General features: G+C 34.0%; 1 long non-coding RNA gene across 2 annotated transcripts in view; it reads left to right on the forward strand.

Annotated features, from left to right (window-relative positions):
- LINC01684 (long intergenic non-protein coding RNA 1684) overlaps nucleotides 1-27,217 on the forward strand; it is a 119,203-nt gene that overhangs the window by 42,987 nt on the left and 48,999 nt on the right. Inside the window, exons 5-6 of one of the 2 annotated variants that reach the window (NR_135520.1) lie at nucleotides 13,897-13,959; nucleotides 16,387-18,581. The exons of the other annotated variant lie outside the window; for it this stretch is intronic. This is a non-coding gene — a long non-coding RNA (long intergenic non-protein coding RNA 1684). Of the gene's footprint in view, nucleotides 1-13,896; nucleotides 13,960-16,386; nucleotides 18,582-27,217 lie in introns of those variants that run through there. 2 annotated transcript variants of the gene reach the window in all.

Below are 27,217 nucleotides of genomic sequence, written 5' to 3' on the forward strand. Positions count from 1 at the left end.
TGAGTGAGATAAGAGAATCAGTAAGTAAAAGAATTTGAAAAAACTGTATGTGCCATGTGAAGTCATGGATGGATTTAGGGCAAAGAGTAGCAACTAAGACAGAAATAACTGGGCTTCAAGGGATCTCAAATTAAGTCAAAGAGAATATTAAGAGGCTTTTTGAGAAAGACATCAGATGTTTGTAGTACAAGGGAGGAAGCCAGCAATCTTCGATTTTCCTCCAGTTTTGCTGTTGATTCACTTATTATTTAAAATCTATTCCTCTTAACATTCTGTCTTCAGGTTCCTCTGACCAGGAAAAGAGAAGGAAGTGTGGTTTGGGGGCCTAGAAAATCAACCTTTGTTCTCCCCTTTACCTATCAAGGTGACTTATAGAAGCTTAGGACAATGTAAAATGAGTTTAAATCCAAATTATTCAACTATATAATATTAAAATCAGAGATTTTGATTTTAACCATCTGTAATTTGTTAGATCCAATGACAGTTTAGCTATCTCTAAAAATTGGATATTTTTTAACTTTCATTTTAAGTTTAGAGGGTTACATGTGCAGATTGATTACTTGGATAAATTGTCTGTCCCTGGAGGTTGATGTACAAATGATCCCATCACCCAGGTAGAGAGCATAGTACGTGATAGGTAGTTTTTCTACCTTCCCACTTCTCCAACCCTCCTCCTTCAAGTAGACCCCATGTCTATTGTTCCTATCTTCATATCCATGTGTACTCGGTGTTTAGCTCCAACTTACAAGTGAGAACAAACAGTATTTGGTTTTCTGTTTGTGTATTCATTTGCTTAGGATAGTGGCCTCCAGCTCTATTCATGTTGCTGCAAAAGACATGATTTCTTTTCTTTTAAATGGATGCATAGTATTCCATGGTGAATATGTACCATATTTTCTTCATCTGGTCCACCATTGATGGGCATCTAGGTTGATTCCAGTCTTTGTTGTTGCAAATAGTGCTGCTATGAACATAGAAGTGCATGTATCTTTTTGGTGGAATAACTTATATTCCTTTGGGTAGATACTTAGTAATGAGTTTGCTGGGTCAATTCTGTTTTAAGTTCTTTGAGAAATCTCCAAACTACTTTCCAAAGTTGCTGAACTAATATACATTCCCGTCAGTTAACAACTGTTTTTTTTGTTTTTTACTTTTTAATAATAGCCATTCTGATTGGTGTGAGATGGATTTAAAAATCAGCTTGTTAAGCAATCATGCATAACACATTAAAGGAACATTTTATCTTTTAAATTCAAATGTGAAATTCTTATTTTATTCAATATCTGGATTAACCAGAAAATCTAAACATCAACTAATGTCAGCTTTCACAATAACATTTCTGTCATGATATTTTGGGAAATGTTTGGTTTCATTTGTTTCAGGCAAATGATGATTTTATAAGGTAGTTATATGAGGTAGCTATACTAAATGATAACTCACAGAAATCACCCTGAAGGTTAACACTTCCAATTATATCACTGCCTTTGAATATGTCATTTAATAACTGCTTTATGCATTATTAGTATTTATGCTTTTAGGTGGCATCAAATTCTATTGATATAATGACAGATGATTAAGAAAATGAATGTAAATATTGCATGTGTCAGGTGTAATTATTTCAAATATATATATATTTTTATAAAATGCAAACATTAAATTTCATCTTAAAGAAGTTTATTTGCTTTGGATATTTATATAAAATACTCCTTTAAAAGGAATGGAATAAATATTTTCAAATACGTGTGTTGCTCCAGGATTGTTTCTAGATAACCTGCTGTAACCTAATGTAAGTAGCTGAAGAATGCTTAATTTCTAAGTTTCAGAACTTACAATAAGTTTCAAGACTAAATATTTTTGCAGCACTGAAATGAAAGAACAAAAATTAAATGTGCACCCTCTAACTATAGGAAGTGATATCTTATAATGATGTTGTACTTTTTTAGTTATATATTTTTAATAAATGACTGTTCTTCATTAACTTGGAAACATAGTTTATGACATTACAGAAGGCTGAAAACAGTGACTCTCTTTGCAAAGTATGAAGGATAGTGCTAACTGTATAATCAACAGATGAATTAATAATAAGTCTAATGATGCATTTCTATCGTTAAATAGAAATTAACTGCTTATAATTGACAATGCTTTTGAAAAATGCTATGTTGCGTACTTTGTTTTTACCTGATTTTAGAATCTAAACTTGTAATAAAAACAAAAACTATAAAGATTCAGGGTCCTGGAGCTAAGTCTCCACCATATTTTCAGTCTTTTTCTAAATGAGTTAGCTATTTATCCAGTCAGGCTTGTTCTTAAGCCTGCCTTGGCTAAACCACACAGGGTTGGACTAATACCTGGCAAGGTGTAAAGGTTTGGATTATGCCAAATGTGGATACAGAGATACCAGGTCTTAAGTTTACAGGCAAATTGGGCCTTCCATAGACCACTGTCTAGAAAAACACACCACGCAACCTCCCTCCACACTTAAAACGTACTTTACTTAATTTAACGTACTTCACCACCTCATCAGTCTGAGTGGCCCCTTGGAATTTAAAGATGTGCCACCTGTTATCCAGACTTTGCATTTACTTAGGTTATTTGCATTTCTGATCACTCTGTTCAATTTATTTTAAAATTATCTTTCTCTTGAGCAGAATAGGTACTCATGCCCTTGCTAACCCTGGCTGTACATTCTTAATGTAGGACTTCAAGGAATATTTTTTTCAGTGCATATGCATGTGTGTATTTGGATATAATCATACGTATGCATGAACAGTTTATTTAAAATACGAATATACTATAGAAACGACCTTTAACATATAAGTATGTATGTGTGTGCATATGGATGTGTATGTTTCTTATATAAATTGTTAGAGGTGTGCTTTATTGTTGATTTCGCACTTTCATAACTAATAAAGAATAAATGCTTTAAAATGCATGCAAGAAAAATGATATGAATATGCACCATTTCATAGCTTAGAACAATATTAAGAAACATTACATTTGGATGCTAATATATATTGTTTAATCAAACTAGTTCGCGCCGTAATCTCTTTCATCTTACTTAAATGGCTCCATTTACCTTAAATAAGGAATGAAGAAGCCTGCTATTTATGCAGACTGTTCAATCTATGAAGTATTGGGAAAAAATTATTCTCAATAGTCAAAATAAGATCACAAAATGAGATGCACTATATGCCTTATTTTTTATAATGATCTTAAATGGAACAGATGGCAGTTTATTTCTACTGAATTATGTTTGACACATAAAACCATTTAATTTTTATACCAATCGTCTTCTTTAAGGTAGAAAATGTTAAATTATTGATATAATTTTTCTAGTTTTATTTCTTTCCATTGTCCCTTTACAATTATCATAAATTCGACATTTGAAATATAAAGCATTATATTTTGTAACAAGAAAAGTCTGTTATGCTCAAGTATTTTCTATTAAATTTTTATATGCAAAACTCAATTACATTAGCCATTATTTTACTTAGAATAAACATTAGAACATGTTGGATTCCTTCCGCTAATCACAGTGACTGATAATAGAAGATTGCCCATGTTAATTTACTTATACAAACATTAGACTGAGAATATACTCTATAAAATGTCTTTTTTAAAATATGTAATCCACTTTCCCAAAGCTATACTTTATATTACTTATGCATACAGTCTACTATTACTTTACATATTTAAAAACACAATTGCCAAGAAAAAGCACTGTCAAACATAATCAATATGTCAATTTAAATGCATTGAAGTGTTGAGTAAGTTGAGTTAAAGTATTCTGAAAGAAGGATCCAAGCAGGGTCAGTGATCTATAGAAAATATACAAACTGGAAGCATTTCCTTTGAAAACTGGCACAAGACAAGGATGCCCTCTCTTACCACTCCTATTCAACATAGTGTTGGAAGTTCTGGCCAGGGCAATCAGGCAAGAGAAAGAAATAAAGGTATTCAATTAGGAAAAGAGGAAGTCAAATTGTCCCTATTTGCAGATGATGTGATTGTATATTTAGAAAACCCCATCGTCTCAGCCCAAAATCTCCTAAGCTGATAAGCAACTTCAGCGAAGTCTCAGGATACAAAATCAATGTGCAAAAATCACAAGCATTCTTATGCACCAATAACAGGCAAACAGCCCAATCATGAGTGAACTCCCATTCACAATTGCTACAAAGAGAATAAAATACCTAGGACTCCAACTTACAAGGGATGTGAAGGACCTCTTCAAGGAGAACTACAAGCCACTGCTCAACGAAATAAAAGAGGACACAAACAAATGGAAGAACATTCCATGCTCATGGATAGGAAGAATCAATATCGTGAAAATGGCCATACTGCCCAAGGTAATTTATAGATTCAGTGCCATCCCCATCAAGCTACCAATGACTTTCTTCACAGAATTGGAGAAAACTACTTTAAAATTCACATGGAAACAAAAAAAAGCCCACATTGCCAAGATAATCCTAAGCAAAAAGAACAAAGCTGGAGGTATCACGCCACCTGACTTCAAACTATACTACAAAGCTACAGTAACCAAAACAGCATGGTACTGGCACCAAAACAGAGATATAGACCAATGGAACAGAACAGAGGCCTCAGAAAAAACACCACACATCCACAACCATCTGATCTTTGACAAACATGATGAAAACAAGAAATCGGGAAAGGATTCCCTATTTAATAAATGGTGCTGGAAAAACTGGCTAGCCATATGTAGAAAGCTGAAACTGGATCCCTTCCTTACACCTTATACAAAAATTAATTCAAGATGGATTAAAGACTTAAATATTAGACCTAAAACCATAAAAACCCTGGAAGAAAACCTAGGCAATACCATTCAGGACATAGGCATAGGCAAGGACTTCATGACTAAAACACCAAAAGCAGTGGCAACAAAAGCCAAAATTGACAAATGGGATCTAAGTAAACTAAAGAGCTTCTGCACAGCAAAAGAAACTACCATCAGAGTGAACAAGCAACCTACAGAATGGGAGAAAATTTTTGCAATCTACCCATCTGACAAAGAGCTAATATCCGGAATCTACAAATAACTTAAACAAATTTACAAGAAAAAATCAAAAAACCCCATCAAAAAGTGGGCAAAGGATATGAACAGACCCTTTTCAAAAGAGGACATTTATGCAGCCAACAGACGCATGAAAATATGCTCATCATCACTGGCCATCAGAGAAATGCAAATCAAAGCCACAATGAGATACTATCTCACACCAGTTAGACTGGCAATCATTAAAAAGTCAGGAAACAACAAAGTGCTGGAGAGGATGTGGAGAAATAGGAACACTTTCACACTGTTGGTGGGACTGTAAACTAGTGCAACCATTGTGGAAGGCAGTGTGGTGATTCCTCAAGGATCTAGAACTAGAAATACCATTTGACCCAGCAATCCCATTACTGGGTATATACCCAAAGGATTATAAATCATGCTACTATAAAGACATATGCACACGTATGCTTATTGTGGCACTATTCACAATAGCAAAGACTTGGAACCAACTCAAATGTCCATCAATGATAGACTGGATTAAGAAAATGTGGCACATATACACCATGGAATACTATGCAGCCATAAAAAAGGATGAGTTCATGTCCTTTGTAGGGACATGGATGAAGCTGGAAACCATCATTCTGAGCAAACTATCACAAGGACAAAAAACCAAACACCACATGTTCTCACTCATAGGTGGGAATCGAACAATGAGAACACTTGGACACAGGGCGGGGAACATCACAGTCTGGGGCCTGTCATGGGATGAGGAGATGGGGGAGGGATAGCATTAGGAGAAATATGTAATGTAAATGACAAGTTAATGGGTGCAGCAAACCAACACGGCACATGTATACATACATAATAAACCCACACGTTGTGCACATGTACCCTAGGACTTAAAGTGTAATTAAAAAAAAAAAGAAAATATGCAAAATGAGAGTCACTCTTCTTATCCTCGGACCTTGTTTTTGTTATACTCATCAGATCAAAGTTGGTTACATCTTTAAAATTAGGAGGAACTCCAGGTCTTTACTACCTTGACTGAGGAATGGAATATTCTCTTTCTGATTTCATGAAAATATATTCAACATTCATTTGCTTTAGATTACATCCATTACTACCATCTCTATTTCAGCCTCTTTCGCCACCTTCACTGGTATTACTGCAAAAGCCTCCTAAGTTTCTCCATGTCTTCATGTGCTCTCTGATACAGAAAGATCCTTTCAAAGTGAAGATATGATCATGTCAATACCCAGCTCATCATCCAAAAGTAGTCCTGCATTTTACTCAGAGATAAGACAAAGTCGTTACACAGTTTCACTCTGTGATTTGTCCTCCGCTCACTTTCTCAGTGAGCTCATCTCTGTATTGCTTTTCCCTTCACACCACACTACAGCCACATGAGTCCTTTCCAGATATCAGTGAACCAAGCACCATCTGGCATTGCAGCATTTGCACTGGTTCTTCCCAGTACTCACTCACATCTCCTTGAAATCTGCTCAAATGTCACCTTCACAATGAGGTCTCTTTCTTGGATGTCCAATGATAATCATTAAGTTTCTCTTTCTAATTGGCCATCCCATTTCCTTGAGCCATCTCCATGTTTTCATTGTATGAATAACATTTAATACCTGATATATTAGATAACATACTTCTCATATTTATTGTTTATTTTGTGCTGCTATAATTTAAGCACTATCATTGAAAAAACCCTTCTCTTTCTTATTTGTTGATGTTTTAATCTCCTAAGGGCATCAAATAATTTCTGGAACATACGAGGTATATATCTCAAAATTATTTTATATGGAAGAAATATTATAGAAAATGCTCTAAAATATGTTTTAAGAAAATATATTCTCATTTTGCTTTTTTAAAAACTAGAATACAGAAATAAAATTGTTTTCAAATAGAGGCAATTTAATGTAGAGTAATCTTACAAATCAGTTGGTTAAAAGAGAAACAGGGAATTGTTTAAATGAAAAGAAATGGAGGAACAAAAGGAAAAATTTTTAATCTCAGAAATTTGAAGCAGCTAAAGCCCCCAGTTTGGAAGTCATAAGCCTACGCCAGCTGCTGCATTTTGTATAGAGATGAAGAAGAGGTACTTTTTCAACCAAAGCTAGAACTGTCAAAATAATGTTACATTTGCTGGGCTGCTGGATTCCAGAATCACCTAACTGCTACTGCTTCTTCAACCTTCAGCAACTACCAGTAACCGCCTTGTTGTTCAAGCCAGAATTACAAAGTAATTATTAAGTAATTACAAAGATATTATCTTCTGTATGCCTACCTACATCCTACTGACAGAATAAAACAGAAATTATACGTATTGTAAAAAGAGCCTGAAAAGTGTAATCTGCAAATGTTGTGATTGAACAGAGAAAGGTTAGTATGGAAGTGAGAGAAAATGGAAAATAGCCAACCCAATCAGTACCTACTAACAATTAAAACCAGATTTTTCTTTTGGCATATATCAAGCCAATGAATTACAGGAAATTTTGAATGATAGTTATATTTTTTCTTATTTTATTATATAAATAAAATATTTTTAATGCGTAACATTTAAAAACATGGACTATTTTTGCCATGTAAAATCATCATCATTTAACTGATGCAAAACAACAAATTTCACTTGAGTTTTCTTAGTTGAAAATGTGGTAGCTTTTAATTAAGCTCTTCATTACTATTTTTCTGTTTTGTAATCTTCAGTTAACATTAAATAACATGCTCTAAGCCATCAGCATTTATGATTGTTTAAAGAATTTAAATTATCTGCCATAGCTAAGATATGGAACTAACATAAATACCCACCCATGAAAAAAATAGATTTAAAAATGCAGTATATACATATGATGGAATATTATTCAGCCTCAAAAAAGAAGAAAATCCTGCCATATGGGACAACATGATGAACCTGGAGGACATTATGTAGGTGAAATAAGTCAGTCACAGGACAAATATTACATGATACTACTTATCAAAGTATCTAAAATAGTTAAGCTCATAAAAGCAGAAAGAGGAATGGTGGCTGCCAGGAATTGGGGAGAGGGGAAAATGGGAAGCTGTTTAATGAGTATAAAGTTTCAGTTATGTGAGATGAATAAGTTCCTGAGATCTGCCCTGCAACATAGTGTCTACAGTTAACAACGCTATACTGTGTATTTAAAAATTTATTATGAGGGTAAATCTCATATTAAGTGCTTTTACCACAAAACACAAACACACACATGCACATATGCACATGCACACACAGATGCAAACACACACATGCACACACACACATGCACACAAACACACACATGTACACACACACACATGCACACACACATGAAGCATGCAATTTTGGAGGTGCTGAATATGTTATGTTTTGGATATGCCTATTATCTTGATTTTAATGATAGTTTCATGGGTATATGTATATGTCAAAACTCACCAAATAGTATATATTAAGTGTGTGGAGTTTTTTGTTTATCAATCATACAACACTTTTAGCTTCACCAATCACATTTCCTGAGATGTGTAAAAACAAAAACCTATTTCCCCCCCCACCCCCAAAACAGAGTAATTTTCACATGGAAACAATAGCATAAGCATGCACTACATTAACAGATTTTTGCATGCTGATTTTTTTTTTTTTTTTAGATGGAGTCTCGCTCTGTTGCCTAGGCTGGAGTATACTGGCATGATCTCGCCTCACTGCAAGCTCTGCCTCCCAGGTTCACGTCATTCTCCTGCCTCAGCCTCCCGAGTAGCTGGGACTACAGGAGCGTGTCACCACGCCCGGCTAATTTTTTTTTGTAGTTTTAGTGGAGACTGGGTTTCACCATGTTAACCAGGAAGATTTTTGCATGCTGAATATTTATAAACTTTATTGTATGCAGTTTTCTTGCCAATCCTCTATTCCTCCCTACACAAATCAAAAATGTCCAATATATTTTACATAAAAGAAATCTAAAATCAAAACTGAGAGATAAAGATCTAGTGAAGAAATCTGTCACCTTAAAAATAAACATGATTATTGGTGGCAATAGTAATTCAGAATCACTTGCAAAGTTAAAATTCGGAGCTAAACCGTGTACATTTTGTAAGCAAATATAACAGTAAACTCTTTAATTTGAACATTGAACTAGAAATCTATCTCCCAAAAAATTACAATTTTGTGAAACAGGAACCAAAACTATATACTAAGATAACAGTAATTCATCAGGTACTTTTTTGGATATTATTTACTATACACATTTTTGTTCTACCTTACAAAAGTTAATAATCTTTCATTAACATTAAATAGAATTAATCAATTCAACAATGGTGTAATATTTAATTTTAATTTTGTAGGTCATTGATCTGATTTCATTTGTAATCAGTTTTAGCATAAGTCTGCATTAAGAGACCAGAGGAGAAAAAAAAATGAAAGAAAAATAAAATCTAAAAGTGCAGAAAAATAATATCTTAGTAAGAAAAGAACATTTTCCTGGCACTGTTTGAAACAAGGCCATGTAATAGGCTTTAACCAGAGTTACCCTAAACCCTGCCTGCCCTTCCTTCCCCAGCCATTTATCAGCTCAATCAAAATTCTTGTGGCAATGTAGCATCAACTAACCCCATCAATACAACCATATCTTTGGTCATCGTCGTATTTGCTTCCCCTCTGGGTAGCCATCCTCTGTACTCCACCCCCGATTGTTCATTAGTTTTCTCTTCCTACCAGCTTGATACCTATTTCTCTTGCTGAAACACTTGTTTGTTTTTACTTTGTTTGTTTAAAGATCAACAAAACTTAAACATTTTTAAAGGCTTTTAAATAACTAAAAACTAACTGTATTTCCATTGTATCATCTCTCTTGCATCCTATACTATGTCCATTATCTTTTAAGTTACATTACTACCTTGCTAACCTCCAGAAAATATGCTTACTCTAGAAAATCTTGGCTTTACCATGTTTCACCTGTTTCTCCTCTGGTTTTCAACCAACATTTTAATGCCCCATTTATTATACTTAGTGCCCAACCGAATGGAGGCTTTTGTTTGTTTTTGTTTTTGTTTTCTTTCTATTCCAAATTATCTCCAGCATCCTAATTAGTCTGATTCTTCATGTTGATATTCCAACTGTTTAGTATTACTGAAAGTATGATTTCCGTCAAAAAACTATAATTGGTCCACTATGAGATAAGCACAGAAATTGAAAGTAAGACATTAGAAACCTTAAAACCACAGGATCCCTGCATATAATAATTTGCCAAATTCATTGGTTTATTTTTAGATAAAAACACTGCTGTGAAAAAAATTTGAACTTAAGGAAAAATCTCCTTTTCCTCTTTCTAGAGAAACACTGCTCTAGACGAGTTCTTTACCTCACATTTTCAGATACTTTAATTCACTTCTACTTCAAACTGAAGTTTCTCCATACCTCATGAATTTACTAGTAGTTTTAACCTTCGGCATGTGCAATATTACATTGAGATATCCTATTATTTGACCATAATCTTCTACATTTTTTAATAATTATATAACTATACCTGTATTTTATGTAAAGATATCTATTCCCCGAACCTTTATTTTTTTTCATAAGGACTTTTTCCGGTTTGACCTGAACCTTTTTATTTAAACTAAGTGGCCACCCTTACTTCCTCAATTGTTTGAGATTTTCCTTTTTTAATCCCAACAATTTTTTTTTTTTTTTTTTTTTTTTTTTTTTGGAGATCTTCTCTACTTCCTCGTCTCCTTGGAAATTTTTTTCTTACAGTGAATCTACAAGTGAAAAGTTGGACAGTATTGAGAGAATAAGAAAATTTACTAAATGATGCTGTTCACAATTTTATGGTTTCTAATCTGACTAGACGCTGAACTACCCAAGGAAATTATTTCTCTCTTTTTTTTTTTTTTGGAGACAGAGTTGCTCTGTCACCCAGGCTGAAGTGCAGTGACGCAATCTCAGCTCACTGCAGCCTCCACCTCCCAGGCTCAAGCAATTCTCTTGTCTCAGCCTCCCAGGTAGCTGGGATTACACCCATGCGTCACCACGCCCAGCTAATTTTTTGTATTTTTAGTAGAGACAGGGTTTCACCATGTTGACCAGGCTGGTCTTGAACTCCTGACCTGGTGATCTGCTTGCCTTGGCGTACCAAAGTGCTGAGATTACAGGCGTGAGCCACCAAGCCCGGTCTATTTCTCCCTTTTCTATCATTGCTCTCCTTACTCTTCTTAAACTTGCTGCCCTTCTTCCATCTAAGTCAAAGTTTATATTGTCACTTTGACTTTACAAACAAAATATAGAAAATTCATCTTATCTTTGAAAAATGGACTGCTAACGTAGCTGGATTAACAAATACTCTTTCCTTTTATCCCTTATTTGCAATGGATATGTTGGTACAAATTATTTCTAAGCCCAATACTTATATTCCTGTTCTTAATTTTATCTACTTATCTCCAGAAATTCATCTGATAGCTTTCTCTTCATTTTTGAAACACAGTCTATTCTTGACTTTTAAAAATAATGCAACAGGCAGGGTGCAGTGGCTCACACCTATAATCCCAACACTTTGGGAGGCCAAGGTGGGTGGATCACGTGAAGTCCGGAGTTCAAGACCAGCCTGGCCAACATGGTGAAAGCCTATCTCTACTAAAAACACAAAAATTAGCCAGGCATGGTGGCACGTGCCTGAAATCCCAGCTACTTGGGAGGCTGAGGCAGGAGTATTGCTTGAATCTGGGAGGCAGAGGTTGCAGTGAGCAGAGACTGTGCCATTGCACTCCAGCCTGGGCAACAAGAGCAAAACTCTGTCTCAAAAATAAAATAAAATAAAATAAAATAAATAAAATAAAATAAAATAAAATAAAATAAAATATAGTAAAAATAATGAAACAAAGGAACAAAAACAAAAAGCATCAATGTCATCATACACATGGTTATTCCTTTGGCAACTAAATAGCTACCATTTTCTATTAAATCCATAAATTAATGTATGAGAAAATGTATGATGCTAAATAGTTCTATCTTACTAAGATTTACCTACTTTGTCTATATATATAGATAAGTAGATGAATGTTATCGATAAAATTACATAGAAACTTGTATGCATCTAATAAATTCGTATGTATCTAATAATCTAGGTTAAAATAGATAAAGAAAAACTGATACAATTTTAAAAAAGGAAAATTCACTATCATTTTAAGAGATATAGTATAAATTGCTTCTGTTCAAAACTGGTAAATCAACCAGACTCTATAATAAGAATGTAGAAGACTAGCTAGGTGATTAAACAGAAATAAATGGAATACCATAATCAACAATACTTTATAGTGATTTTGTTGCTAATTACTTTTATTTAAAAAGTTTATGGAAACTGCCTAAAAAGTGATCAGAAATTGAATCTCAAATTTTAAACATTGATGTAATGTAGGTCATATATTCTAAAACTCCAATAAAATTAAGTTAGATGTTAGTTTAAACAGTGAGAAAAAAAACCCTTACATGTAGAAATTATGAAAAAAACCCCGACACTTCTAAACATCTTATGGGCCAAAGTTATTGTAACAATAATCAGAAAACACATAAAACTGAATAAAATATAAATATTACATATCAAAACTAACGAACACCTAAATAAAACATTATTTAACTTTAATTGATTATATTCTAAAAAGGAAAGACTGAAAGTGAACGAGCCAATAACCAAACTTAAGACTCAAGAACTTGAAAAATTAACATAATACAGAATACAAACAAAACTGTATATTATCATCAGAAATTATTTATATATAATAAATCTGAAATAGAAGAAAAAGCAAAAGATAATTTTTGAAGAGATAAAACTGACAAATCTTTAGTGAGACTAATACGGGAAAAAAACACATAAATACACATTGTTAAGAATACAGGCTTGGTGTGGTTGCTCACACCTATACTCCCAGCATTTTGGGAAGCCAAGGCGGGAGGATCACTTGAAGCATGGAGTTCCAGACTAGCCTCTGAAACATAGAGAGACCCTGTCTCTACAATAATAATTATAAAAAATTAGCTAGGCATGGTGGCACATGCCTATAGTCCCAGCTACTCAGGAGGCTTATATGAGCCCAGAGTTCAAGGCTGCAACTAGCCATGATTGTGGCATTGCACTGCAGACTGCGTGACAGAGCAAGAGTCCATCTCTACAAAAAAATAATAATAATAATAACATAAATGCAGGAAGAAAGTGCAGAGACTAGAAACATGAGTATCAAAGTTGGACACATAAAAATATGTATACATTTAATTATATAAATATAAAAATTACAATATATATCATACAACACATCTCTATTTGCATCTCTATCTCTATGTCCTTATATTTATAGCTAAAATATAATTACACATACCTATAGTTTATTCTTATTATTTACAGTATTTCTGTTTTATAAGTCCCCACAGACACTGAATTAGCCAATAGTGAACTCAGACAAAAATACAGTTAGATTTGTGACCCTTTGTTCACATTATTTTGTTAATCCATCAACACGCACCTTTGTTTTATATGTCTCCATTTAAAGACAACTTATTTAATGTATTTTGTTGATTCATTAACATTGAACTCATAGCCAACAGCACTGCAACTCATGCCTAGACACAGCTTATCTAACACACATAATTTTACCTTAAGTCTCATTACCACCTTTTGCACTTAGGAACATTACATAGCACTTTAAGCACTACATTTGGGGGCCATTTTAAACAGTGAAATTTTCAACAAAAAGCACAAGAATGTGAAAAACACAGCTCTAAATAAAGCACAGAAAGGACATTTGCTTGCAGTAAGTGAGCTGAAACAGAAAGGCAAAGTGTCACTGTGTTTGATCTCACTTGGGAATGTATGCATTGTGCAACTTGTATTTTTGGCTCTCTGCAGATATCCATGAATGACCATGAAAGTACAGCAAGTGATTTTCAAGCTGCAAACAAATTTTAGCAAGTAAGTGCATTTGCCAATAAGCAATACATGAATATGAGAATCAAAAGCATATATACCATAATATGCCATAAGTTTATACACCATAAAATATATCTACATATTTATATCTATATCTATATCAATCTATATGTATATCATAAAAACAACAATTATCAACAATGCAATGAATTTAAGAATACATTGGAAATGGGAATAGAATAGATGAATTCATAGAATAGTCCTATTGATAAACAACTCTAATATAGTACAAATTATTCTACCGTATGAAAAAAAGAATACTAGTTCAATCATTTTCTGAAGCTAGAGTAACTTAAATACAAAAATGTGACAAGGATAGTCTTAGAATGTAGAACACACTTATAAACATAGATTTTTGTGCAGTATTAAATAGAAAATAGTTGGTCAATACAAACAAAAAGGCCAAGTGTGGTGGCTTACACTTGTAATCCCAAAATGTTGAGAGGCCAAGACAGGAAGATCACTTGAAGCCAGGAGTGGGAGACCAGCCGGGGCAACATAGTGAGACCCCCATCTCTAATATATATATATATAAAAGCTGGGCATGGTGGCACATGCCTATAGTCCCAGCTACTCTGGAGACTAAGAGAGGAAGATCCCTTTAGCCCAGGAGTTCATGGCTTCAGTGAGCTATGATCGTGTTACTGCACTCCACCGTGGCCCACAGAGTGAAACCTTGTCTCTAAAACAAAATCCAAACACCAAAACCCAAAATAAAGACATTTATTTATTAAATTTTATGTAGCATCAGAATCTTCAGCTAAGCTAGGCATGCTTCACAATGTAACACCCTTTAAAGCAAGAAGAATCTTGAATCTACTTCTCAACTATTTTGCATATATCTTCTCCAATTCTTTTCACATTCCCCGTTATGTCAGTTCCTATTCACCTCTTTTTTAGTCATCTCCATTTATTTTTAGCAGCTCATATTATCACCTAGACAAAAGGTCAAAGACTTTATCAGCCCCTGTTGTGTTCTGTTTGGGTTTTTGTTTGTAATGTCCTGTCTATTTTCCTTTTAAAATGGCAAAATGATAATTCTATATTATAAGGCATAATAACCTTGAGATTGCCCAATTGTTGTTGAGTGGATAATTTAAAAATAATTGTAGAGTTTTCGTCAAGAAAGTGAAAATAAACACAAGCCAGCATCAGTTCCATTTAAAGCAATACTACATAGATAAGCCACTTCACCTTTTTAATATAGCATTGACATTGGCAACAAATGTTAAGGATGTCATATACACCATGAATTTGAATAAATTAAATGCAGAAACTAGTTGACAAGTCTATTTTTTCATAAAATTAATGTTAAAAATTGAGTTTAAGCTTGAGTGTCCTACTGTATTATTATTATTACATAACAAATGAGTTAGTTATATTGAAAATGTAGGAAAAGCAAACTTTTCCCAACCCCCCTCGCATCAAAGATGGTGTCTCTCAACTGCATTAGAAAATGCTGATTCAGGTAATCCCACCCTAACCCCAGATGCTGTCTAATAGTGTATTAGGAAACCCCTAGTAGCTTGGAAAGTATTAACCTAGTATTTCTGTTTATATTGCCTTGATTATTAGTGTAATTAAACATTTGATTTCATCTTTTGTAATACATAGGTGTATGTCTCTTAAAAATATTTTACCAATTGCTTACTTGATTATTAGTGTAATTGAACATTTGATTTCATCTTTTGTGATACATAGGTGTATGTCTCTTAAAAATATTTTAGCAATTGCTTATTTTTTCTTGTAGATTTTTCTTCTCTGAATCTTTTTTATTGAAAATTTTATTCCTGAGTGAATCTCATAAGTTGCAAACATTGAATGAAGTAGGATTTTTAACTTTATTTTGTTCACATGTGTTGTCAAGTGTTTAAATGCCATCAATAAATTTGTATATATTAAATTCCTTATACGATTTGTTACCACAGTCCTTATTATAGCTAGTTTTTCAGTTTGTTCCATTATATCACCATTTAATTGCTTTATAATTAATAGCATTTTTGAAAGAGTCTTCATAAGTCTTCAGTGATTTTCTTAAATTATTTTTATTTTGCAGTTAAATAATTTTCCAAACAAATGAACTAATTTAAAGTGATAATTTTTACTGTTATTACTTTAATTTACATAATAATTTGGCAAGAAATGAATTCCAGTAGATATAGCAATGCATTGTATTCCCTCTGCTGTAGTGGAAAGCGCCAGTGTTACAACTAGAAATAAAAATCTCAGGTATGGTAGTGTAGAAAAATTGAAGGTCTGGTAGCTGTCTCATATGAATCCAAGTAGTTCTGTTCAGTGCTGGAAATAGCTTACGATGTCATGGTTCCAGGTTCTCTCTTGTTACTCTGTCATGTTCAGCAAACCATCCTTGCAGCTGTTTTTGCTTTCATCATCCCATTCTCATTGCAGGCAAATGGAAGAAGAAAGAGGAGAGTGGTGGTGTGTGCTTTCCCTTTAATGGCAGAACCCAACAGTCGTACACACCACTTCTACCCTCTTAAGATGGGTCAGAATCCAGGCCCAATTCCATGTATACATGGAAGAGAGGCTTATTAAAGTAGCCTTCAGTTGCTGGACAGAGTTCCATCCAAAACTACAGTTAATAGGTAAGTCGAGAACTTACATTAAGTGATAAATGGCAGTCTCTGCCAAGGAAAATATTCTTATCCATGCTCATGGATAAGAAGAATCAATATCATGAAAATGGCCATACTGCCAAAAGTAATTTATAGATTCAATGCTATTCCCATCAAGCTACCATTGACTTTCTTCACAGAATTAGAAAAAACTACTTTAAATTTCATATGGAACCAAAAAAGAGCCTGCATAGCCAAGACAATCCTCAGCAAAAAGAACAAAGCTGGAGGCAGCATGCTACCTGACTTCAAACTACACTACAAAGCTACAGTAACCAAAACAGCTTGGTGCTGGTACCAAAACAGATACATAGACCAAGGGAACAGAACAGAGGCCTAAGAAATAACACCACACATCTACAACCATTGAAACTTTGACTAACCAGACAAAAACAAGCCATGGGGAAAGGATTCCCTATTTAATACATGCTGATGGAAAAACTAGCTAGCCGTCTGCAGAAAACTGAAACTGGACCTTATACAAAAATTAACTTACATCTTATACAAAAATTAACTCAAGATAGATCAAAGATTTAAGTGTAAGACCTAAAACCAAAAAACCCTAGAAGAAAACCTAGGCAATACCATTCAGGACATAGGCATTGCCAAAAACCTTATGATGAAAATACCAAAAGGAATGGCAACAAAAGCCAAAATTGACAAATGGGATCTAATTAAACTAAAGAGCTTCTGCACAGCAAAAGAAACTACCATCAGAGTGAACAGGCAACCTACAGAATGGGAGAAAAATTTTGAAATCTATCTTTCTGACAAAGGGCTAATATCCAGAATCTATAAGGAACTTAAACAAATTTACAAGAAAAAAACAAACAACTCCATCAGAAATTGGGCAAAGGATATGAACAGACACATCTCAAAAGAAGACATTTATGCAGCCACCAAACACATGAGAAAAAGCTCATCATCACTGGTCATTAGAGAAATGCAAATCAAAACCACAATGAGACACCATCTCACATCAGTTAGAATGGCGATCATTAAAAAGTCAGGAAACAACAGATTCTGGAGAGAATGTGGAGAAATAGAAATGGTTTTACACTGTTGGTGGGAGTGTAAATTAGTTCAACCATTGTGGAAGACAGTGTGGTGATTCCTCAAAAATCTAGAACTAGAAATAACATTTGACCCTGAAATCACATTACTGGGTATATACCCAAAGATTATAAATCATTCTACTATAAAGACACATGCACACGTATCTTTATTGCAGCACTATTCACAATAGCAAAGATTTAGAACCAACCCAAGTGCCCATCAATGATAGACTGGACTAAGAAAATGTGGCATATGTACACCATGGGATACTATGCAGCCATAAAAAGAATGAGTTTATGTCCTTTGCAGGGACATGGATGAAGCTGGAAACCATCATTCTCAGCAAACTAACACAGGAACAGAAAACCAAACACCGCATGTTGTCACTCATAAGTGGGAGTTGAACAATGAGAATATATGGGCACAGGGAGGGGAACATCACACACTGGGGCCTGTCTGGGGGTTGGGGGCAATGGAAAGGATAGCATTAGGTGAAATACGTAATGTAGATGGTGGGTTGATGGGTGCAGAAAACCACCATGGCACATGTACACCTATGTAACAAATCTGCATGTTCTGCACATGTATCTTAGAACTTAAGCATAACAAAAAAATATATTTCTGGGCAGAGGAAAAATACTTTGAAATTTACATTTAATCCAGTAAAATTTCAGTGCATTAAATTAAAGCTTGTAATATAATAATGATAATAACAGACAGCATTTAAAGAGCACCTCTTGTGGATAATCAAGTTATTGAGAAATTATGTGTGTTATCTCTGGGATAAAGATTGCTGCATCCTTATATTCTTGTGTATAAACAGACCCTGTATATGTAAAAAAAGGAAAGAGAAAAGTATTTTTAAATGCACTAATTTGTAATTACCACATAAACTATTACTCATGGAAGATTAGTTATTTGTTGTCAGTACTTTTTTTTTCCCTTTCAAAAATGTATTCAGATTTTACTATGGCCTAATATGTAATAAATGTATATTTCCTGTGTGTCCCATTGGGGCTTTCAAAGAAAACATATCTCTTTTAGAAAACATTTTTCACATAGAGATATTATGCATCATATTCAAAACCTTTGTAGATATCTTTCTTGAATTATTTTATGAGTCAAAGTTTATATTTCAGAAATATTTCTTTATTTTTTCCAGTAAAGGAGAAATCATTAATAAAGAGGCAAATTTATTAACACTATTACCTGAATTTTTTAGAATGATAACAAATAAATTTAGTAAATATTGCTGATTTATTAGCAGATAAAGTCATTCTGCTCCAAGAGCATGACAGCTAAACTTCCACTAGCTCATTTATACTCTGTGGAAATATGATTTACTGCCATATGAGAGAAATTAAATTCTATTATTTTAATTCTGTATTTTGTATCATAAAAGAGAAACCAGATATGGAATACAGAATATGCATATATGGAATAAAACAATGGGGAATAAATAAGATTTAGTTCAAGAAATAAAGAGATCATGTATTCAAACACACCAGTGAGTTCTTTAAAAAGGAAATCTTTTATGTTCTAATTAAAGTAGCAAACTTCACAACTTGAGTTTTTCAGCTCATTTGTTTCCTGACTTCTTTATTCCAAGTTAAATACTCCTAAGGTGGGTCATATAATTCAGTGACCTTTAAAGTAAAATTGAAATATTTAATTTTACTACTTTTCTTTATCTCTTTTTCTCTCACCACATGCAGCTTATAAATGCCAATAGAATTAATTGCCTAATTATAAGGAATAAAAACATTGCCTTTTGAAGGATTTCAAATTTATGTATCCTGCTGTGGAGATTTTGCTTGACTACCTGACCTATACAGTCTGTGCTTCTTAAGGAAAGAAAATAAGTGGACTACTTTCGAACACATTTTGAACTTGGTAATGAATGCTACAATACTGCTCTGCTCTATAATCTTAGGTTATTTTATATTTTAAGGGCTTCACCTGGAGCCATTTTACTGTTAACCATAACTATTATATATACTCTTTAATAAGCTCCATTATATTTTTTTTTACTTTTTTCCTTATACAATTTAGTAATATGGCAGAAAAGCAGGTAATAAGGAAAATACTAATCATCATTAGTTTACAACACATTGACACACATTTTCCAGCAAGAAAATTCGATTAACAGGTAGCACGAAAAAAAGCTGCCTACCTGGATAACTCATATAACACTTTACACTATATCTCTCAGAAAAAAATTACCATATTCAATATGCTTCATATTTATTTTCTTAATAACCACATTTTTAATAACCTCATTTTCTCTGGGAATTTTGGGTTTCAGGTACATATAGCATCTTCATGCCAATTTTATAAGGTCATACCTTAATCACTAGTTGCAAAAGTAGGGATATAAAGGCAAGAATTCTAGATTAGAAAGTGATATATGTGATTTTACAGGAAGACAGAAGAAAGGGAGAATTTGTGAATACTATGTGAAAGAAGAATAAACCCATGAGCCAAACTTAATTTGGATATTAAAGCTGATTATATCACACATACACCAAGAGAGTATGAAAAGATTTATTTCTCACATAATGAGACTTTCTGGACAGATCATGGCAAGCTCAAAAACAGTTCTGAAAATGGCCTAAGATAATATGGAGGGATGAGTAGCTTGCCTGTTATTTTACTTGGAGTTGGGAGTTGTGCATCTGGGATGAAGTTTACATGGTTTGAACTTTCCACTGGCACTGAGGTAAAGATCTAAGATATATAACTGGCTTGCCAAGATGTAGAACAAAACAGAAGGGCGGGTGGTAAAGCATAAAAACTATTAACAATAAGGCAATAAAAATCAATCCAGACTCTTTATTATAACTCACTCCAATGTTTGACTGAGGAGTAAAATGTGCTATGATTTATTTAATTGCATTTGAAGTTGTTATAGTAAGCCATTATGGTTACCTATGAGGCTCACAGCATGAGAACGGTAAGGAAATAAAACTTCCATTGAATACCTTCGTCAGCAGATGTGATGGTTAATTTTATTTGTCAATTTAATTGGTTGATGGGATGTTCCAGTGTTTGCTTAAACACTATTCTGGGTGTTTCCATGAGGGTATTTGGGATGCAATTAACATTTATATCAGTAGACTGAGTAGAGCAGATTTTCTGCCGTATTGTAGTTGGAACTTACCTAATCAGTTGGAAATCTAAATAAAACAAAAAGTCTGAATCACCCTAAAGTAAGAGAGAATCTTGCTACCTGACACTTTTTGAACTGTGACATTGGCTTCTTTTCCTGACTTCAGACTCAAACTGAAAGATCAGCTTTTTCTGATTTTTAAGCCTGCCAGCCTTTGGACTGGAACTACTTCATTTGTTCTCCTGAGTCTCCAGTTTTGTGACTTGCCCTGTAAACCTTGGGACCTGCTAGCCTCCATGAACTTCCATGATATTACTAATTTCCTTAATAAATCTCATTCATTCTCTCTCTCTCTCTCTCTCCCTCTCTTAGTTCTGTTTTTTTTGTTGTTTTGATTTGTTTTGTTTTGTTTTTTCCTGGAAAACTCTAACTAGTACATGAGCCCAGCATTGTGTATTTTGTGAAGTAAAATGTGTTCCTTGCTCACAATTGCTCACAATCAATTGCTCACTATTATTAATGTGTAGAACCGTGAAGGGGTAAGGAATAATTTGGTAAAGATTTGTATTGTGGCATCATTATGTAAAAAGACTTGCAACCCTGGTTATATAGTGGGTACTTGTAATTCACAAAATTTCAGAGTTATTTTTTCCAAACAGGAGGATGTTGGACATGAAAATTTTGTTGCTAGCATTGGCCTGCCCAAATGGCCAGACCATTGTCCACAGATAAATATTCCGCAAAATTATGCAGATATGGCTGATTCTTGGACAGAGCATTTATTGTTAAGATTACTGCATGATGTTTGGCCAGTTGCACTGAGCCTTGGGTCTCATTCTTGATCAGGGACATTCTGTTGAAGCAACAGAAAGTGGCTGTTATGCAGTGGGCTCTATTATGTGTAATGGCAGTGCTTCCATCCATCATGGTATATTAATGGACTCACAGTTCCACATGGCTGGGGAGGTCTCACAATCACGGTGGAAATCAAAGGAGGAGCAAAGGCACGTCTTACATGGTGGCAGGCAAGAGAGAGTGTGCAGGGGAGCTGCACTTTATAAAATGATCAGATCTAGTGAGACTTATTCACTATCACAAGAATACCATGGGAAAAACCCACCTCCATGATTCAATTATCTCCCACCAGTACCCCCATGAAACGTGGGGATTATGGGAACTACAATTCAAGAAAAGAAGTGGATGGGGACACAGCCTAACCATATCACATGGGTAGTCTGGAACCTCTAAAAGACATAAGAAGAGGTTGCCAAAGCTTCTACAGTGAACAATCTTTGGGGGGCACTAACTTAAGTCTCTGTTGTATTGCAATACTGATAGATTCTAGAGTCTTTTGTTGTAGGGTGACCCATTCAGGGTAAGTCAATTTGTGAGCAACAACATAAATGAGCTTAAATAAATGTAAATAAGGAATATGTTTCTTTCAGAATCCAAAAGGTCGAAAAGATGTTGAATTTGTTTTAACATTGTGGGTGATGACAGAATGAACAACTGTTTCTTTATAATGTCAGGAACGGAGCACCCTCTAGTTAAATGATAGTGAGAAATTTTACTGAGGTAGTGAGGCCTTTTGCTTTGTGTGAGTAAGTAGTCCACTAATTTTGATGAGCTCTGTTGTGACTGTTTGGTTGTCCTGAATGAATGTGTAAATAGACTCTCCTAGGAGGATGACATCAATATAATGTCATACATATGTTCCTAGAAAAATTTTAATGTGATTAAGGTCTTACCTACAAAGGCTGTGTGCAACAGTAAATCTGTTGCGATGCCCCTGGGTTGCTGCATAAGGATGTATTGTCTTTTTGAAGGTGAAGAAAAACTGCAGCTAAGAAGCTGTTGAAATAGGCAATGAAAGGAATTTACTAGCTAAATCTGTGACTGCAAAGTACTTACCCGTTTCTGATTGGATTGAATGGAGTCAGTAATTTAAGTAATATCGGGTATAGAAGACTTAATGGGTGAGATTATGACATTAAGGTTGCAATAATCCATCATTAAGTGTTATTCATTATTTCCAGTTTTAAGAATAGACCAAATACAGTTATTAAATAAAGAGAAACTGTGGGGGATAATTACCTCTTCTCCAAATAGTTCTTGTATAATGTGTTTTGATCTTCGAAGGCTCTGTTTAACTTTGTATGTGGCCACATTAAGTATTTTGACCAGAGGGGAAAACCCATGAGGTCCAATTCTGTGAAGCTGATTGTAAGTGCCAAACATTTGATTTTATTTTAATGTATTATTTATGGGGTCACATCATCCATGCACACTATGGAATATTTTAGTGCAAAGCAGGAGCTTATAAGTAGGTCTGTCTCATTCTCTTGATATTGGTTGTTGGCAAATGCAGATCCAAATTCAGGCCTGCATGTGCGAACCCTCACTCTGATTCCTCTCCCTAACTATAAGAAAAGTCAAGCCGCTGGCTGCACCCCCATCCCAACCTGCGCTATCTCAAACTGTTTTCTTCCTGCTTAAGAACTAGCCATGTTCATCCCACAAAGCCTCATTATGCGAGTAATAAACTGCTTCATACCCTCTTGATGTCTGTGTATGGTATTATCAGCTTCGACAACTTGACTAAATGTTTGGTTGGGTGTACATTCTTATTGCACAGATCAACCACAAAAAGAAACCATTTTCGTCTGATGTAGTCATGAAAATTTTTACAGAATAATTTAAATTTGAAGGAGACTGACAGGTAAAAGGATTTGCATAAGCTCAAATGAGAAATGGGAAAATTCAGTGCAGGTTATGTGGACCATCATATATACTGGTTTGTCAAGTTGAAAAATATTTAATGTGCACTAGATTCTGGTACATTAATTGATGTTGGAGTATATTTTTACTTATTCATTGTTTTCTCATGTATTTCTTTTCTTTGTGTTTCTCTCCTTTCCCATAGACAACAAATAGGGTTATTCTATGTTCATTACTTCAAGGATGATCACAGAAATATTTTTTCCCCTGGAGCTCTAAGAGTAGATATCCTTAAGGAAATAAACAAGTTTAAACAAATGGTTTGCTAACATATGGTTTGATTAGGTTTGGCCTTCCCTTCCCCAAATAAAAAGAAAAGAAACATAATATATAGATACAGATATAGAAGTATAGATATTTCTAGGGCAGGAGAAGAGAACAGAAGGAATGACAAGTTTAAATTTATCGAATCATATACGGAGGAAAAATATATGCTGCTTCTAGTCTTGGCTTGAGTGAAATGGTAGTACTCAAAAGAAATTTGCAAAATTGGAGAGAAGAAGAACCCTGAACAGTTCAGGAAGTCTAATAAAGAAAGGCTGTATATTCGATCGAAGCAGACACATATTTAAACAAACTTCAGTGACTCTCATGCTTTAGTGAGACATTGGACCTGCAGTTCACACACTAAAATGAGGCACGGAGATTGCCACTGGACCAGAAGGGTACATCTTCTTGGGAATCAGGGTTATCTTAGCAGCAATATACATAGACTAATAACTGAGACTCAAGAAGAAAAATCGAAATATCTTTGTTGAAAAATGCAATCAGATATCTGAGACTGTGGGCTTGTCCACATTGATGCCTTGGCAGTAAATACGCCACCTAGAACTAATTCCAACTCAAGGACAGATGCTGGCAACATGGAATTGCAAACCTACTCCGAGTGTTCTGACACTCACATAGAATAAAAACTTGAGTTAGGAAAAAATAGAGAAAATTATATTGTTTCACTTTTTAAAAATTACTATGTCAATTAAAATTTATATACTATATTTAGATGAAATAAGGTTGACAGTAATGTGGAACCCTAGCTATGAAGGACTCATATCAGATTACAGCAATTAGTCTTTATTTTCTACAGAAGATTTTGAGTTTGGGATTTTGTTATAAAATCAGTCCTTAAGGAAAATTAATCTAGTTTTTTGCACTTTGCAATAAGAGGACATTTAGAAAATATAAATTACAGTTAATTTCTCTAATGCAGTTATGAGATAAAAATTGCCCCAGATTATGTTGTTGGATACACATGATAGACAGGAACATAAAAACAAAATGACAAAATATTAAAACTTGATTATAAATTTACTATAAAGGCCAATAAGAAGAAAGGAAGTACTTGAAGTTGTAGTTCTGGTGACTGGAAAGACAGAACCAATGGATTACAGAATCAAATCAAGAGGTTTGATTGAGAAAACAAGACAATGCCAATTTGGATTATACAAGTTTCTATGTTATCTAGAAGGCAAACTGAAAAGTAGTTGAAAATATACAAATAGAATGCACAAGTTATCTTGAGATGGATTTAGGCTTTTCTAATAGAGATTAAGAAAGGCCCAATAAGCAGTGCATCAAAATGCTTCAAACATAAAAAGATGCCAATTTGGAAAGGTTTTACCTTCTCATTTGTAGGCAGCATATTAATGGCAAATAAATAGAAAGTAAGGGGGAGAAAAATGGAAGCAAGATGCTTGGAAGGAAAAGGGATTAAAGTATATGAACAGAATGCTCTTTGAAAACCAAGCAGGAATCCAGGCGTGAGGAAACCATTTATCACATACATTAATATTGGTATTGTATGATTTTTCATTGCTAAATTTATAATACTTTAGTTCATGATACTCTAATTTGTAGTAGAATGTGTTAAATACACTGAATAAGAGAACACCTTAATAGTGTTCTAAGGGGTCAGAACACGCACAATCAGACATTAGTATACATTCGAACTTCTTCATATTTTCTATTCATCTTGTTTTTCCTATTTGGGGCCTTAAATTCTGCTTTCCAGGCTGTCTTTTCTTGATCAATTTCTTCATTGCACTGTAAGAAAATACTATTAAAAGCTAAGCATTAATAGGCCTTAACTTTTGAAAACACTTAATATTTAGAGACCCAAGCATGTCGTTCAGAAAAAAGAAAACAAGTTACAAATGCAAAGCATTGCAGGAATATCTATTTTTCTGAGTAACTCAAGTACCTCTATACCTTGTTTATAAATTAAAATAATGTTTCACTGAACTGTACTTTGCTGTTTTAGAAATATTTTCTCGAAGAAATTGAAAAATAACTCTGACCTTTACTGCGTAGACCTGTGGGAACTGAGGCTCACAGAATCAGCACAACATATTGTTGTGGTTGCTGGCTTTTATCATGGCTAATGAACAGTCCTTGTCTTTTAAGGAAGGGTCCTGTGTTTTCTGTCAGTGTATGTTGTATACGAAACGGTGGTAGGTGAGCTTGCTAGCTTGAAAGTCTTGTCAAATCACTGACTTCAGGCTTCTAACTTAACCACTACACTAAAGGTCTTACTTTTGATGTGAGAATGTTGGTAAGACATAAAAATTAATTAATATATATTTAGTATAATATATAGTATACTAATATTAAATATCTATATATTTAATATATATTTAGTATACTATATATAATATATAATATATATATTTAGTATATACGGATATGTGTATATTTAATATATATACAATTAAAGGCAGGGTCTTGCTTTGCCATCCAGGCTGGAATGCAGTGGTGTCAACCTATCTCCTTTTAGCCTTGAACTCCTGTGTTCCAGCAATACTCCCAACTCAGCCTGCTGAACATGTGCATACCACCACATCCAGCTACTTTCTAAAAGTTTTGATTAATAAAAATATTTTAACATTAGGACATCCAACTTTCGAAGTAGTTCAATAAGCATTTTATTTTGATACCCACTCCAAATTAAATTCTATATGATGGTTTAGATTATGCATTAATGAGCAGATCACTCTTTATCCATAAAATCATCAATATAATTGAAATCAGTTTTATCACATATAACCCATAGAAAAATTGAATGTCAATGTTTTAATAAAAGCAGAATGTAACCAATGACTTCAGCCACTTTCTATTTTCCGGTAAGTGCTAAAAAGAAAATTGTATGAATTTTAAGAGCCATATAACTTTTTAAAAAACATTTGTAATGTTATTCAAATGCCCACCAAGGCTTCCTGCATGCTTAATCTACTGACTTCTAAAGAGGTTTTCCAGAATTATTAAGTACAATGATCTGAATAAAAATTTAGAAGATAAAATGTATAACCAAATATAATCTCTTTGTCATATTTATTTTAGAAACATAATAAATGTGGGGTTTTCTGCAAAAAATGTACCTTATTAGATTGTGATAAATGGAAATCAGATGTAAATTATTTTTTTCTGTTGTGTTAGTTGTACCTGAATCCAGCTGTACACATCTGCTCATTGACATAATCTCCGAGGAAGTTTTGGTGAATCAGGTTAGTTCCTAAGATTAACACAACAGGAAACGGCCATCACCTCTTAATTAAAAGTTTGCACTGGGCCCGGCGCGGTGGCTCACGCCTGTAATCCCAGCACTTTAGGAGGCCCAGGTGGGCAGATCGTGAGGTCAGGAGATGGAGACCATCCTGGCTAACACGGT

The sequence above is a fragment of the Homo sapiens genome, chromosome 21 (genome assembly GCF_000001405.40).
Source record: "Homo sapiens chromosome 21, GRCh38.p14 Primary Assembly".
Classification (NCBI taxonomy): domain Eukaryota; kingdom Metazoa; phylum Chordata; class Mammalia; order Primates; family Hominidae; genus Homo; species Homo sapiens.